This window comes from Homo sapiens, chromosome 3 (assembly GCF_000001405.40).
Source record: "Homo sapiens chromosome 3, GRCh38.p14 Primary Assembly".
NCBI classification, from domain to species: Eukaryota; Metazoa; Chordata; class Mammalia; order Primates; family Hominidae; genus Homo; species Homo sapiens.
This window is the reverse complement of record NC_000003.12, coordinates 129,787,993-129,803,277: the sequence shown is the minus strand read 5'-3', so window position 1 is coordinate 129,803,277 and position 15,285 is coordinate 129,787,993. Positions and strand designations below refer to the sequence as shown.

Here is a 15,285-nt window from a genome sequence, read left to right as displayed (position 1 = left end):
TATTTGTCTTTTTGTGATTGGCTTATTTCATTTAGCATAATGTCCTCAAGGTTCATTCATGTTGTTGCATGTAATAGAATTTCCTTTCTTTTTAAGGGTGAATAATATTTCATTTTGTGTGTTGAGAGGTAGGACCTTTAAAATGATTATGTCATGAGGGCTCTGCCCTCGTGAATGAATTAATGACATTACCATGGGAGTGGGTTCCTGATAAAAGAATTTGGCTCCTTTCTCTCACTCTTGTGCATGCTCTCTTGCCCTTATGTCTTTTGCCATGGGATGTTGGAGCAAGAAGTCCCTCATCAGTGGTGAGCCCATCAACCTTGGATTTCCCAACCTCCAGAACTGTAAATAAATTTCTTTTTAAATTACCCAGTCTTTGGTATTCTGTTATAGCAACACAAAATGGACTAAAACAGAAGATTAGAGAGACTTTCCTCTTTGTACAGTTTTCTCAAATGCCAAGGTGGCATAAATTGGAATAGTGTGTCCTGAATCTCATTAGAGATTCCTCATGGTTGCTCTATGCTATGCCATGTAGGGAGAGAGGGGCACAAACAGGTGTGCGACATGCCACAAGTTTTCCTCCTCCTTTCACAGGAATACTGTCTTGGTTACAATGGCCTAGGTGCTATTGCTTCACAGCTAGTCTCTATAGTTTTGTTTTTTAAGAGATGAGGTTTCACTCTGTCACCCAGGCTGGAGTGCAGTGGCACTATCATAGCTCACTGTAACCCCAAATTTCTGGGATCAAGCGATCCTCCTGCCTCAGCCTTCCAAGTAGCTGGGACTACAGTGGTCTCTGTAGTTCTTACAGTGGTATTGTAGTTTACATATTGTTTTAAACTCAATATCTCTGGGGGAAAGAAGGCCTATGTTTCCTAGTTCACCATCTTGATGATAGTATACTCTCAAGTATCACTTTTTGAAGTATAAATGTTGCCAGGTAATTTATTTCTTTTTGTACAATGTGTAAATAAAAGGGAATCATAGGTGTAATATTTTGGACTTGAGTAAGACATTTGGTTTTGTCCTTTGTGAGGCCCATGTCTACAAACAGAAAAATTCAAAGCATTGATAACCCAACTTTACAGTTTATGCAATCTTATGTTGGAGTGTAGAAATAAGGTAATAGAATAGTTACATATTAATCCCAAGACAAGACTATATAGTGTCTTAAGGTTTTCCTGGCATTCACAAATATTTATTAAATGTCTGCTCTATGTAAGGTAGTGTACAGTTGAGATACATAAAGTATAAGATGCAATCCTTCAAAGTGCTAATTTTTAACTTGAAAGCTCTGATGCCGGAAACACTAAATAACACTATTTGGTACAGGAGCCATATAGAACATATAAATGTACAAGAACTGTCACTGTACATGATCAATTGTCCAGAAACTGTTGTGAGTTAAAAAGTAGAAATGACATGAAGTGGACTGATCTTACTTCTATAGAAAATGAATTTAGGCCGAATCTTGAGTGTAGGATCATATGTTAGCATCTACCCTAGAGAACAACTCACAAATGCAAAAACAGGCATGGGCCGGGCGCGGTGGTTCACGCCTGAAATCCCAGCAACTTTTGGAGGCCGAGGTGGGTGGGTCACAAAGTCAGGAGTTTGAGGCCAGCCTGGCCAACAAAATACAAAAATTAGGCAGGTGTGTTGTGTGCCTGTAATCCCAGCTACTCAGGAGGCTGAAGCAGGAGAATTGCTTTAACCTGGGGGGCAGAGGGTGCAGTGACCCGAGATCGTGCCACTGCATTCCAGCCTGGGTGACAGGACAAGACTCCGTCTCGGGAAAACAAAAACAAACAAACAAAACAAAAACAGGCGTGTATTGGCAGAAATGTGAAAGTAACCTAAATGGTCATCAAGAGAATGGCTAAGTAAATTGTTCTGTTTATACTGTAGAGTACTGTGTGGCAGTTAAAATAATGTAGGATATATGTACTGACAAATTTCTGAGTAAATTGTTGAATTTAAAAAAAAAAGGAGGTCATAGATAATATGGGTAGTATGATACTGGTTGGATTAAAAAAACCAAACTAGGCTGGCCATGGTGGCTCACGCCTGTAATCCTAGCAAGCACTTTGGGAGGCCGAGGCAGGCAGATCAAAAGGTCAGGAGATTGAGACCATCCTGGCTAACATGGTAAAACCCTGTCTCTACTAAAAATACAAAAAATCAGCTGGGCGTGGTGGCGGGCGCCTGTTGTCCCTGCTGCTCCGGAGGCTGAGGCAGGAGAATGGCGTGAACCTGGGAGGCGGAGCTTGCAGTGAGCCAAGATCGCGCCACTGCATTCCAGCCTGGGCAAGCGAGATTCCATCTCAAAAAAAAAAAAAAAAAAAATAGTGTGAGATGTGCAGAGAGGGAAAACGTATCAGCACATGAAATACCTTGTAACTATTTCATTTATATAATTTGCTACGTGTTCTTTGCAACATAGTGAAAAATAATCATGTCTGATGTTTAGTAGGCACATAATAAATAGTAATGGAATGAATGGTTGTATATTTAGAGAGCCATGCTGAAAGGTTAAATAGCAAAATATGACTACTTGGAGAATAATGTTAAATTGTCAAGGAGAGTAGTGTTATATGAATACTCAGATGGATGGATATATAGAAAATGAGAAAAGCGACAGAAGGAACTTAAAGAGATTTTAAAAATAGCTTTGTCTAAAGATTAAAAATTAAAGTTCTAAGTAACTTCCTAGGAAGATATACAAGACCACAATGAGATGCCATGACACCTCTACCAGAATGGATCCAATTAAAAAAAAAAAATCAAGAGTTGGCAAGGATGTAGAGCAACTGGAACTTCCATACATTATTGTAAGAGTGTAAATTAGTACAACCACAGGGAAAACCGTTTAATAATACCTGCTAAAATGTAAATCTTACTCTGTCCTTTAGGATTTCCATTTTTAGGCTACATATACCCAAGAAAAATATGCTATATGAGCTCCAAAACAATCTGATAATTTTATAGCAGATTTATAATAGAGAAAAAATAGATACAGCATAGATTCAAAAGTAGAATGGATAAATTGTGGCATTATTCATACACTGGCATATACTATAAAGTAATAATAAAGAACTGTTACACACAACTGCATGGATGGATTGCAAAGATATGATGAGCAAAAGAAACCACACACAAGATTCCTTTATATGAAATACAAGAACAAGCAAAGTTAATTTATGATAGAAGTCAGTTACAGTTACCTATTGGGGAAACAGCAGTGAAGACATTAGGAACCTTCTGGGGCAGCAAATATTCTATATCTTGATATGGACATAGATGTTTTATATCTTTATATGTTTATGGCTGTGAGTGTGTGTATATATATATAACAGTGAATGTGTTTATGTGCATACATACACATATACACAAAATAAATTTGTGTATAGGTATGATATTTCAAGACATCTTCAAAGGGAATCTAATAGAAAATGTTTCTGAGACAGAGTCTCGCTCTGTCGCCCAGGCTGGAGTGCAGTGGCATGATCTCGGCTCACTGCAAGCTCCGCCTCCCGGGTTCATGCCATTCTCTTGCCTCAGCCTCCCGAGCAGCTGGGACCACAGGTGCCCACCACCACGCCCAGCCAATTTTTTTTGTATTTTTAGTAGAGATGAGGTTTCACCGTTTTAGCCAGGATGGTCTCGATCTCCTGATCTCGTGATCCACCCGCCTCGGCCTCCCAAAGCGCTGGGACTACAAGCGTGAGCCACCGTGCCCGGCCCCAGAAAATGTTTTTAAAGTAAGGACATGTTAGGAAAATTAACATCTCGATCATAACCTTGCTAAGAGAGGATAGAGGAGCATATGGAAATGCCATCTCTGAAAAATACCATTACAGAATAGGCAACAACCTTGAGTTAGTTGGATACAAGGAACTGGGCCAAATAGCCTCTTGAAACTACTTTCTGCTCCTCCCTTCTTACCGTCCTTTCTTCCTTTCATGCATTTACTGCAGGTAACGCATGATACAAGTTTTTTTAGGAGAAAGAAATGTGGAGCCCAAAACATTGCTAATATAGAAGGAATCAGGCTTAATTTAGCATGTTTCAAAGAGCCGTGTCCAAGTCATCCAAATAAAGACCTTATTTGGCAAGGTCAGCTGCCCTTTAAATCAACCCTCACAAGTTAAGGTATTGTATATGGTACTCAAATTTTTGATCACCAACATCTTTTAACTTCTTACTACTTAACAAATTCCTCTACTTTCATGGTTATTTATATTGGCAGTTGCATGGGCTTTTGTAAATAACTACATAAATTACTTAATCTGTTCTTATATAATAAAATATGCTATCTGTATTGTTATTTATTGTGGGATTGCCAAAAGAATCTCATTTAAGGGGCCTAAAATGCCACAGAAAACCCTAAAACTGGCAGCATTGTTGACTAAACATTTTGAAAATAGATTTCTTCACTCCTTGCTTTAAATGTAGACAGTAACTAAAAGAATAATAATTTCTGAAAGAGACTATTACTTTGTTATTTGTTAATGAGCTATTCCCATTTGGGCAGTTTGTAGGAAAATAGTTAACAAGTCTGTGCAATTTAGAATGGAGAAATTACTGAATTTTGTTACTATTTATGTTTCCATTTCATTAGTAGAAAACATTCTGAGCACTTCTTTAGGCTGAAAGCAGGTTGCCTTGTTAGTGAGGGAAATTAAGTTTCACTTACCACTTGTTTCACACCCCTGTCTCCTTTCCTTTTTTTTTTTTTTTTTTTTTTGGATAGGAAGAATCTTTTAGCAATGATTTAGGATTCTAGTTGCTTATATCAATCAGAAACACTGTGTGTTTAAGACAGTGTGTCTTTCTGTAAGGCACTTCATTATTTCCGCATCAGTATTTCATGAATCCTTCTTACATTCCTAGGAGATAATTTCAGAATACTGTTTCACTATCTCTGCGAGAAAAATGGAGGTACTGGTACTCTTACCACTCAAAAACCAGAAAGGCGGCTGGGCATGGTGGCTCATGCCTGTGATCCCAGCACTTTGGGAGGCTGAGCGGGCGGATCACCTGAGGTCAGGAGTTCGAGACCAGCCTGACCAACATGGTGAAACCCCATGTCTACTAAAAATACAAAAATTAGCCGGGCATGGTGGCAGGCGCCTGTAATCCCAGCTACTTGGGAGGCTGAGGCAGGAGAATTGCTTGAACCTGGGAGGCAGAGGTTGCAATGAGCTGAGACCATGCCATTGCACTCCAGCCTGGGGGACAAGAGCGAGACTTCGTCTCAAAAAAAAAAAGAAAAAAAAAAAAAAGGCACACAACTCGGGTGCTCTGTCAACCTACTTTCCACTTGGAATTAAATTTTAAACAGCTTAAATGTTAGGTTATATTGTGTTCTCTGAACCTTGGTATGAAGGAGTCTTTACTTTTGGTTATAGGTGTTCATCTAAAAGCTTTTTAGCTTTGGAAGTTTACAAAAAATACACTTAGATATGTTCAACCTTCTTTCTGCTTAAAGTTTTTAAGAGTAAAAGATTTGTTTGTTTGTTTTGTTTTGAGACAGGGTCTCTCTGTCGCCCAGGCTGGAGTGCAGTGGCATGATCTTGGCTCACTGCAGCTCCCACCTCCCATACTCGAGTGATCCTCCCACTCCAGCCTCCTGAGTAGCTGGGACCACCTACTCATGCCACCATGCCCAGCTAATTTTTTGTGTGTTTTTTGTAGAGATGGTGTTTCACCGTGTTGCCCAGGCTACTCTCGAATTTCTGAGCTCAAGCAATCTGCCTGCCTTGGCCTCCCAAAGTGCAGGGATCACAGGCATAAGCACACATGCCCAGCCTAAACGTTTTATATATACATTTTGGTTAGGTAATTTTTTTTTGGAGACTTGGCAGCCTATTATTTGTTTGAATTTGATGCATCTTCTCTGCTCTTCCCGAGATATTATGAAATACGTGTTTTTTTTTTTTGTTTGAGATGGAGTGTCGCTCTGTCGCCCAGGCTGGAGTGCAGTGGCGTGATCTCGGCTCACTGCAAGCTCCGCTTCCCGGATTCATGCCATTCTCCTGCCTCAGCCTCCTGAGTAGCTGGGACTACAGGTGCCTGCCAGCACACCCAGCTAATTTTTTGTATTTTTAGTAGAGATGGGGTTTACACCGTGTTAGCCAGGATGGTCTCGATCTCCTGACCTCGTGATCCACCTGCCTCAGCCTCCCAAAGTGCTGGGATTACAGGCGTGAGCCACCGCGCCTGGCCTATGTGTGTTATTTTTTAGGTAAAATTTTAGATCCTATTTGGTGATAATTGGATACTGGTAGTATATGATACGAGCATAGTTGAGAATAATCATTGCATAGAAACCTGTCTTTTCAAATTCATTTTTTTGTGTTTCTTACCTGAAGAAAAAAGTTACAAACACTACATGATTTTCTCACAATAATATTGATGTTTTATTTAGTTTTTATTTTTAGAGATAAGGTCTCACTCTGTTGCGCAGACTGGAGCATCATGCCTCACTGCAGCGTCAAATTCCTGAACTCAGGCAATCCTGCCACCTCAGTCTCCCAAGTAGTTAGGACTCCTGAGTAGTAGTTAGGTAGCACATGCTACCAAACCTAGCTAATTTTCTTATTCTTATTTTTTGTAGAGACAGGGTCTAGCTTTGTTGCCTAGGCTGGTCTTGAACTCCTGGTGTCAAGTGATCCTCCTGTCTTAGCCTCCCAAAGCATTGGGATTACAGGTATGAGCCACTGAACCTGGCCATATTGAGGTTTTAGAGCGAGAAATTACTACTTATTTGAAGAGTTGGGATACTACAGTAGTCTTCCCTTATCCACAGGAGATATGTTCCATGACCCCCAGTGGATGCCTGAAACTGAAGATAGTACTGAACCCTATATATACAGTCACGTGTCATTTAACACTGGGATAACTTCTGAGAAATGCATTGTTAGGTGATTTCATCATTGTGAGAACATCGTAGAGTGTCCTTACATAAACCTAGATAGCATAACCTACTACACACCTCGGCTATATGGTATAGCCTGTTGCTCCTAGGCTACAAACCTATATAGCATGTTACTGTACTAAATACTGTAGGCAGTTTTAATACAGTGGTATGTATTAGTGTATCTAAACATAGCTAAACATAGAAAAGGTACAATAAAAATACAGTATTATAATCTTATGGGACCACTGTCATATATGTGGCTAGTTGTTAACTGAAATGTCATGTGGGTTACGACTGTACTGTGTTTTTTCCTATACACATATCTGTGATAAAGTTTAATTCAGAAATTAGGCATAGTAAGATGTTAACAGTAACAATAAAATAGAACAATTATAACAGTAGGCCAGCACCACTCCTCTTGTGCTTTGTGACCATTATTAAGTAAAATAAGGGTTATTTGAATACAACATTACCATACTGCAACAGTCGATCTGATGACCAAATCGCTTACTCAGTGACTAGCGGGTGGGAGCCAGGGCTGGATAGGCTGGACAAAGGGATGATTCACATCCCAGGTAGGATGGCATGAGGTTTTATCATGCTACTCAGAACGGCATGCAGTTTACAACTTCTGAATGGTTTGTTTCTGGAATTTTCCATTTAAATATTTTTGGATTGCAGTTGACTGTGGGAACAAACTGTAGGTAAGGGAGGACTATTGTAATACAAATTTTATAAGGTTGTTTTGATAAATCAATAGGATAATAAATGTGAACTGCCTAACATAGTGACTGCACATAGTAGGTTCATTCCAACAAAGGCTTTAAATGTAGCATATGACATAACTTTGCTCACAGGAAATTGAGAGACACTGGAACAGGGAAAAAAAATATACGAATGAGTTCTGCCCTAAACAGTACTAAATTCATTCAGAAGTAATGAACAATTCCAAGAGGAGCACATAGACTGGAAAGTTTCATTAAATGAAACGTTATCCTCACAGTGGTTGTCTGGAAGCAGACCCAAACAGAGGAAGAGTGGCAAAGATAGGAATATTTTTATCTTTGGAACTGCTCTTACAGTTATTTTTCATACCTCTTTACCTGCATTGATTCACTCTGAGCTGTTCCTTTTGTTTTGTGTGTAGATTTTAAAAAATTACTTCATTCCAACAAGAGAGGGCAATTACCTCAGGAGGCCACTTTAATGTGTTTAACTTTGGCACAAGTTGAAGTCACCGTCGGAGTATGCCTCTCTGCACCTGACATTCCTTCCTGAGGCAGGACCCCTCCCTGTGAATAAGAGGAAAGGCTTGGCCAATTATGCTAGACAAAGCCGCACAGCTGCCGAGCCCAGCTGGGAGGAGTTTCCTTCTTGAGCAGGGAGCTGGTACAGCCAGGGGCTTGCTTTTCACCACCTCCTTTTTTTTCACACTGCCTCACCTTAAAGGATTACCTAAGGTGGAGGTAGAGAAGGGTGCGTTGCTGTCTGCAGTGGACACTCTCTGCTGCTGGGACGGCTGAAGAGGGGAGGAATTGGTGCAGTTGCCTGTCTCCTACTTGGAGCAGATGCTGTCTGACCCCAGCACACCACTCCTCCTCCCACAGAGACCGGAACATCAGGTCTGTCCTCTGGAGTTTCAGGTAGCACCACAGCGGCATCCTCGCCTACTGGTCTGGTGGAAAGGGAAGGGGTGGTCCTTGTGTTTGGACCCCTCACAGCTGACTCACAGGAAGTGCTAGAAGAGCTTGGCACTGGGCACAGCGGCTTCAGGATTACTGCCCCACCCACCCTGCCCTCTCCCACGTAGGTTTTCCAGTATCTCTTGATAGAACAATGAAGGCTTTCCAAGTTTGCTAAGACTCCCAGGGAAATTCTTTGCACTTCTCTGGCAGTCTTCAAAATGTTCTGCCACCGACTTTCCCAAGAAGCTGTTATTTAAAAAACCCTTCGTGGATTGCTTTGTCTGAAGATCCTCTGGGTGATCATGGTTCAGCGCTTTAGCCTCAGGAGGCAGCTATCCAAGGTGGGTTGGTAGTTTTCTATGTTTGTGGAGGGGAAACTCTCACTTGCTTCAGCATGGTTCCTTTTTCTCTGGAACTGTTCTGTCAAGCCTGCCGTCCTCCAGCGCTAAGGAGGGGCTGAGGGAGGAAGCACTGCCTTTTGTTCTTTTATCTGACAGGCACAAAGCTTGAAGGCTGACTGCACTGGCAGCCCCAGATTGTGTTCCCCTAAAACTGCAGCTGTCATCTGAATTTGGGCAAAGTTGTAGTTTGCTCCTGAGATAGAATTTCCAGAAGGGTGTGTGTGAAAGAGATAATTGTGGGTTGAAAGTGTATATTTAATAAGCAATTAATCTGTCAGCTTGTGGACCAAGAGGAGAAAGCCTTCTTCTCTGTGGAATCAGTGCTTTCATACATTTCACTATTAAACTGAGAAAAACTACCACAAAATAGTTTAATGAGCAAGACTGGCATTAAAATGTTAAAATGAGTGGTTGTGTTGAGAAACTTGAATACTTAATGAAGTATATGAAAAGCAGTTACAGAGAGGCTCACAAAGCAGTTTTTACAGAGTTCTGATGAAAAGCAGGTTCCATGTGTGCAGCTTTTGGGGAAAAGTTTTTTTAACCTGAGAAAATCATACTTAAAATAGTAAAAAGGTGAAGCACGCATTTAAGAGGGGATGGTGATTTATGAAATCCACTCTGCCTGTAGCCAGCCCTCCTTGACCCAGTCATTTAGTGCAGAAACTAATATGGAAAGAGGTGTGGTAAGAGTTGAGCTTTATTTCAAAACCCATTGTGTTCTTTAAAAGCTCCATTTAAAAAATGTAGCAGTTGGTGGCTCAGTTGTGTCACAGTTCATTCCCTGAATACAGAAGCTTAAACAAATAGTAAGTCTGTAGGCATTCTTCACTGCCTTGGCTGTTAATCAGAATTGTTAGATCCTGAAATGTATTGTGATCTTAAGGGAAAACCTTTAGTTCCCTCACAGGTGACCCCAGTGTAGAGTGTGTGCACTGATGCAGAAATGAGCAAAGTGCTTGCTTCCATCCCTGTGTCACATATGCATAGTTTTTCTTGGGACTTCTAAGCCTAACGGGATTTTTAGGAGTATTAAAATATATTTAACTTGCTCCCTTCCCCCCTGCTCCATGGTGTGTGTGTGTGTGTGTGTGTGTTTGAAGGCCTCCACATTTCTCTTACACAATAAAAAGAATCATTTTTGTTGCTCTTTCAATGTCCTCCAGTGCTTGTATTTTCATATATATAGTACATTTAAAAAGCAGATGGGTAGATATCAGGGCAGTGACGTTCCTGCACAAGAGTGTCTGATAGTTGAGAGCCAGGTGATAATTTTCTAATTAGAAGGTAACTATATTATGGGTATTTTGCTGCCAGTACTTCTCTCCCAATTATTTTTTAAACTTTACCCTCTTCACTCTATACTATGTATATGACTGATTTACAAAAAGTACACTTTTGAAGGAATGGGATGCATCCTCTCTTTAGGTACATTACATAAAAACACTCAAAGATGTAGCCTTTTTTCATTCCTTTTCCTGGTACCCTTATTGCTCATTTGAATGTGATTTATGGATCCTATAATGGATGATCTAGACCAAAGCTAAGGAAATTTGTTGTCTATCAGATTTACTGTTCTATCAGAGTAATGAACTGAAAAAATATTTTTAATTATTTCAGTCTGTAAGGCACTTAAATATGAAGGAGAAACCGAATAGTTATGTTAGTGAGTTTAAAAAACAAACTCAGCAAATGGATCAGCGTGGCCAACATAGTGAAACCTCATCTCTACTAAAAATATAAAAATAAACCGGGCATGGTGGTGCGTGCCTGTGGTCCCAGCTACTTGGGAGGCTGACGACGCAGGAGAATCGCTTGAACCCAGGAGGCAGAGGCTGCAGTGAGCTGAGATCATGCCACTGCACTCCAGCCTGGGTGACAGAGCGAGACTCCGTCTTAAAAAAAAATATATCAGCAAATGCATCGTGCCTCTATTTGTCTTTTCAGCTAAATCCATAGGTTACCTGAGAGCCAGGGACCTGCCATACCCCAGTTTATGGTATTTCTGGCACATATTGAACACTCAAAATGAAATCGTTTTTTCATAGATATATATATGTGTATATATATATATGTATATATATATATACAGTTGAACAGCAATTTCAGATGTTTCCGACTTCAGTAACAAGCATTTTTGCTAATAAGTAATTTTCCACAGGAGTAGAGTTGTCTTAAGATCTGAGTTTTAAAAACAATTTCCTGTTTTAACAAAAAGAAAGTACTGATGTGACCATCTTTAAATTTCTTTAATTTCTCTTGGAAATTTTCTGAAAGAAGATATAAACGTTTGCAGTAATTTTAAGCCTAATACCCACTTTAGATGCTTTTTATGTTAAGGTTGATAGTCATGCTTACTTACACTGGATATTTTCCTTAAAATATTCAAGTGATTGTTGTAGGCTGGTAGATGTTCACATCTGAGTTAAAAAAGGAAGTAAATTAAGATTTAGGTGAAGTAAAAAACATTCCATTTTAAGAAAGATGCTCACCTGTTCTCTTTGACTGGATCTCAGTTATGTGATTCACAGAAAAGTTCTCAATTTTCCTTGCCATTTTAGATCATTTTCTTCCTTTATAGTTATCTTACATGTGACTTCAAAAATACTTATTAAGGAAACCTTTTTCTTCCTGCCCCATGTCTCCTGCGTGAGCCATCCAAAATAGTCTAGAACCTGTCAATGTGGATATTTCATTTAATTCTTGAGTTAGATAGTATCAGCTTGTTTTTTATCATTAAAAGAAACTGAGTTTCAGAGAAGTTAAGTCATTTGGACAAGATCAATAGGAAGCCGAGTCAAACGTAGGTCTAACAAGCAAACCCATTCTGTTTCCCCATACCAACTGCCTCCCTAAATTTCTGGTGTGTCTGGCCGGGTGCGGTGACTCATATCTGTAATCCCAGCACTTTGGGAGGCCAAGGTGGGTAGATCACGAAGTCAGGAGATCGAGACCATCCTGGCTAACATGGTGAAACCCCATCTCTACTAAAAATACAAAAAATTAGCCGGACGTGGTGGCGGGTGCCTGTAGTCCCACCTACTCAGGAGGCTGAGGCAGGAGAATGGCATGAACCTGGGAGGCGGAGCTTGCAGTGAGCCAAGATTGCACCACTGCACTCCAGCCTGGGCGACAGAGGGAGACTCCGTCTCAAAAAAAAAAAAAAAAAAAAAAATTATGGAGTGTCAATCATTCTCTCTATCATGATCTCTGATGTTTTTCTATGTTTATCTACGATAGAAAACAATAAATAAACTTGTGTAACTTGGGTAACTTCCTTAGAGCAGCCCTTTCCTATAGAGCTGAAGTATGTGTCCAATAGAGTTTGAACTTAGCAGTCAAACTTGATAAAATATTTCCCATAATTAAATTTGTTTTCGTTGGCCAGAGAGGTATTGATTTGAATAAGATCATTGATTTAATAAAGCCATATTAAACATGGAATAATTAGATGTAAGTTGAAACTTACCTACATGCAGTTGTGAAACTTTAAATTGCACTGTCTTTTAAAGAACTTCTATTAAGGAGAAAAATTTACTCTTGAGTTTCTATAATAATGTTTAAGGATGAAATACAGTGAGTTAGACATTCTTTAGAAAGTCCTTCTTAAATTACTCTGGCCTGCACTCTGATCAGAGGAAACTATTTCCCAAAATCTTTTATGGGTAGCAGAAAATCAGTTTTTTCTAAAGTATGATAAAGGGTAGGGGAACTTTGAGAAAAATTGTAAATATTATCTCAGTAAAATATTATACCCTTTTATTTTACTTTTGAATGGTAATTATTTTCACAGTTCAAAATTTTAAATTACATAACTGAAATCTCAGCTTCTGGCTGTGTCATTTCGTGTAGTTCATACCCCTATCTCTGTAGGTAACCAGTTTCTTATTTATCCCACTGTTTGTACATACGTAAACAAATATGAACATTTATTTTCTGACCATTCTAACATGAAAGATAAATGCCATACAGATTGTTCTAAGATAGTAACTCAAACTTTAATTTTCCAGATATGGATCTTTGAATAGTTAGCTCAGTTTGGAGTTCACATTTATTTTCACGTTTTCATGTGAGACTTACTTTAGGGTAGAGGTAGCCTCACAGCAGCCACTTTCTATATTAAAAATCATTGAAATAACAGTAAATCAGTGATGATTCTTTTTCAATCATACCTTATTTTCTTCCTGTTCTATTTGAGAGCTTTCTTTTGCTGTCTTTACATTTTTCATATGGTGAAAAAACATGAAGGTAAAAATCCTACCAATATGTCTTGGGTTGGCCTGTGAAGAGATTAATGGCTGAGAAATAAGTTTGTGGCATCTTTTCCTAGTTCTGTTGATTTTATTGAAATTATTTAATCCAGACTTATAAAGCAGTTGGAAATATTTTAGTCTAAAAATGCTACCCTTGCCATTTCCACATCTCATAGTGTCCTGTCACTTGGTATCAGTTTGTTATCAATAAAAGAAAATTAAGAAGTGGAGAGCCGGGCACGGTGGCTCACGCCTGTAATCCCAGCACTTTGGGAGGCCGAGGTGGGTAGATCATGAGGTCAGGAGATCGAGACCATCCTGGCTAACACGGTGAAACCCCGTCTCTACTAAAAATACAAAAAATTAGCCGGGCATGGTTGCAGGCGCCTGTAGTCCAAGCTACTTGGGAGGCTGAGGCAGGAGAATGGCGTGAACCCAGGAGGCGGAGCTTGCAGTGAGCCGAGATCGCGCCACTGCACTCTAGCCTGGGCGACAGAGCGAGACTCCGTCTCAAAAAAAAAGAAGTGGAGAAATGTTGGTCAGAATTTGAATTTTTAATAAAACCTGTTGTTTTTTTCAGAAGTAGTTTCCTTTGAATTTCTACCTGATTTCTTTTGGGTTTATGGCCTATGATACATGACTGACTTAATCTTTCTGTGATATCTTTTTAAAAGTAAATAGAGATCTCTTATTTCCATCTTGAGTAGGTTAATTAGGGTTGTTTAAAAGTATTTTGATGACTAAAATGGTAAATTTTATGTATATTTTACTACAGTTTTTAAAAGGCATGTTGAACCCTCTTAATGATAAGCACTAGGTGGGTACAGTGAAGTAGTATAATATTATATGTAATTAACAGTCCTGAATGCATAGGTAGAGTCAGTACTGGATGCACGTTTTCAAATAATGGAAGGACATACCTTTCCTTCTTATGCTTTTATGTAATTAATTTTCTCTAAGTTACTCTAGACATTGACAAACTTCATACTTGGAAATGTAATGTTTTGCATTTCTATTTTACTAACAGTTAAATGTAATATCTTCTTGTTAATCATTAACCCACTTCTAGGAGGCTTAAATCAGGTAACATTCTAATTGCTACTATGCATATGTCTATCTGCTTTCTAGAACTTGAATACTCAAATATCCAACATTATAGGAGATCAAACATTTTGGTATTTTACAAAACCAGAATAGGAAGATTGATGATGTTCTTCTGTTACATGAAATAAGACCCCAGTAAGGCCAGGTGTGGTGGCTCACGCCTGTAATCCCAGCACTTTGGAAGGCCAAGACGGGCGGATCACGAGGTCAGGAGATCGAGACCATCCTGGCTAACACGGTGAAACCCCGTCTCTACTAAAAATACAAAAAAAAAAAATTAGCCGGGCGTGGTGGCGGGCGCCTGTAGTCCCAGCTACTGGGGAGGCTGAGGCAGGAGAATGGCGTCAACCCGGGAGGCAGAGCTTGCAGTGAGCAGACATCCTGCCACTGCACTCCACTCTGGGCGACAGAGCAACACTCTGTCTAAAAAAATAAAAAATAAAAAATAAGACCCCAGTAAGATCAATGTCATGTATTGTTGATGTAGTGGGAATGGATAAGGAATAGAGAATGACCTCCCTATAGGAAATAATAGGCTAAAAATAGAGAAACTAATTTAGAAATATGTATAATTCTGAAATGCTTTCATGATATTGATGCCATTTAAATTTAAAAAATAACAACAGTAATAAATTGTTGACCATGTAGACCTGAGAGAGCAAAATATGCTACCCAGAGAAGATAGCATGTCCTTGGAAGTGTGCTAGTTTTTTATTTTTTAAGTACACAGCTATCTGTTGGTTTGATTTGAGTATTATTTTAAAAAGAGATGTGACTGTTCTTTAAAATTACTTTAGAATATATGCACATATACTCTTCCCCTTCCTTTTGTGTATATATAGGTAACAGTGACTGCCTTTGTGAGGAGGAGTTGGAGACATAGGTGGATAGGAGGGAGACTTGCTTTTTAAAAC

At 39.3% G+C, this 15,285-nt stretch overlaps 1 protein-coding gene across 13 annotated transcripts in view, besides 1 other annotated feature; it reads left to right on the top strand.

Annotated features, from left to right (window-relative positions):
* The window catches only part of TMCC1 (transmembrane and coiled-coil domain family 1), a 245,920-nt gene that overhangs the window by 90,434 nt on the left and 140,201 nt on the right, over positions 1–15,285 (top strand). Inside the window, exon 1 of one of the 13 annotated variants that reach the window (NM_001349273.2) lies at positions 8,666–8,954. The exons of the other annotated variants lie outside the window; for them this stretch is intronic. Within the exon in view, the coding sequence (NP_001336202.1) occupies positions 8,916–8,954 (39 nt within the window). The 5' untranslated portion in view covers positions 8,666–8,915. Of the gene's footprint in view, positions 1–8,665; positions 8,955–15,285 lie in introns of those variants that run through there. 13 annotated transcript variants of the gene reach the window in all.
* Positions 7,776–8,975: an enhancer, noted in NCBI's record as "CDK7 strongly-dependent group 2 enhancer chr3:129513146-129514345 (GRCh37/hg19 assembly coordinates)". NCBI's record gives its function as "activates an origin of replication core promoter dependent on BRD2, BRD4, P300/CBP, MED14 and CDK7 cofactors, with strong dependence on CDK7, by STARR-seq in HCT116 cells {active_cell/tissue: HCT116}" and the evidence as "EXISTENCE:reporter gene assay evidence [ECO:0000049][PMID:35650434]".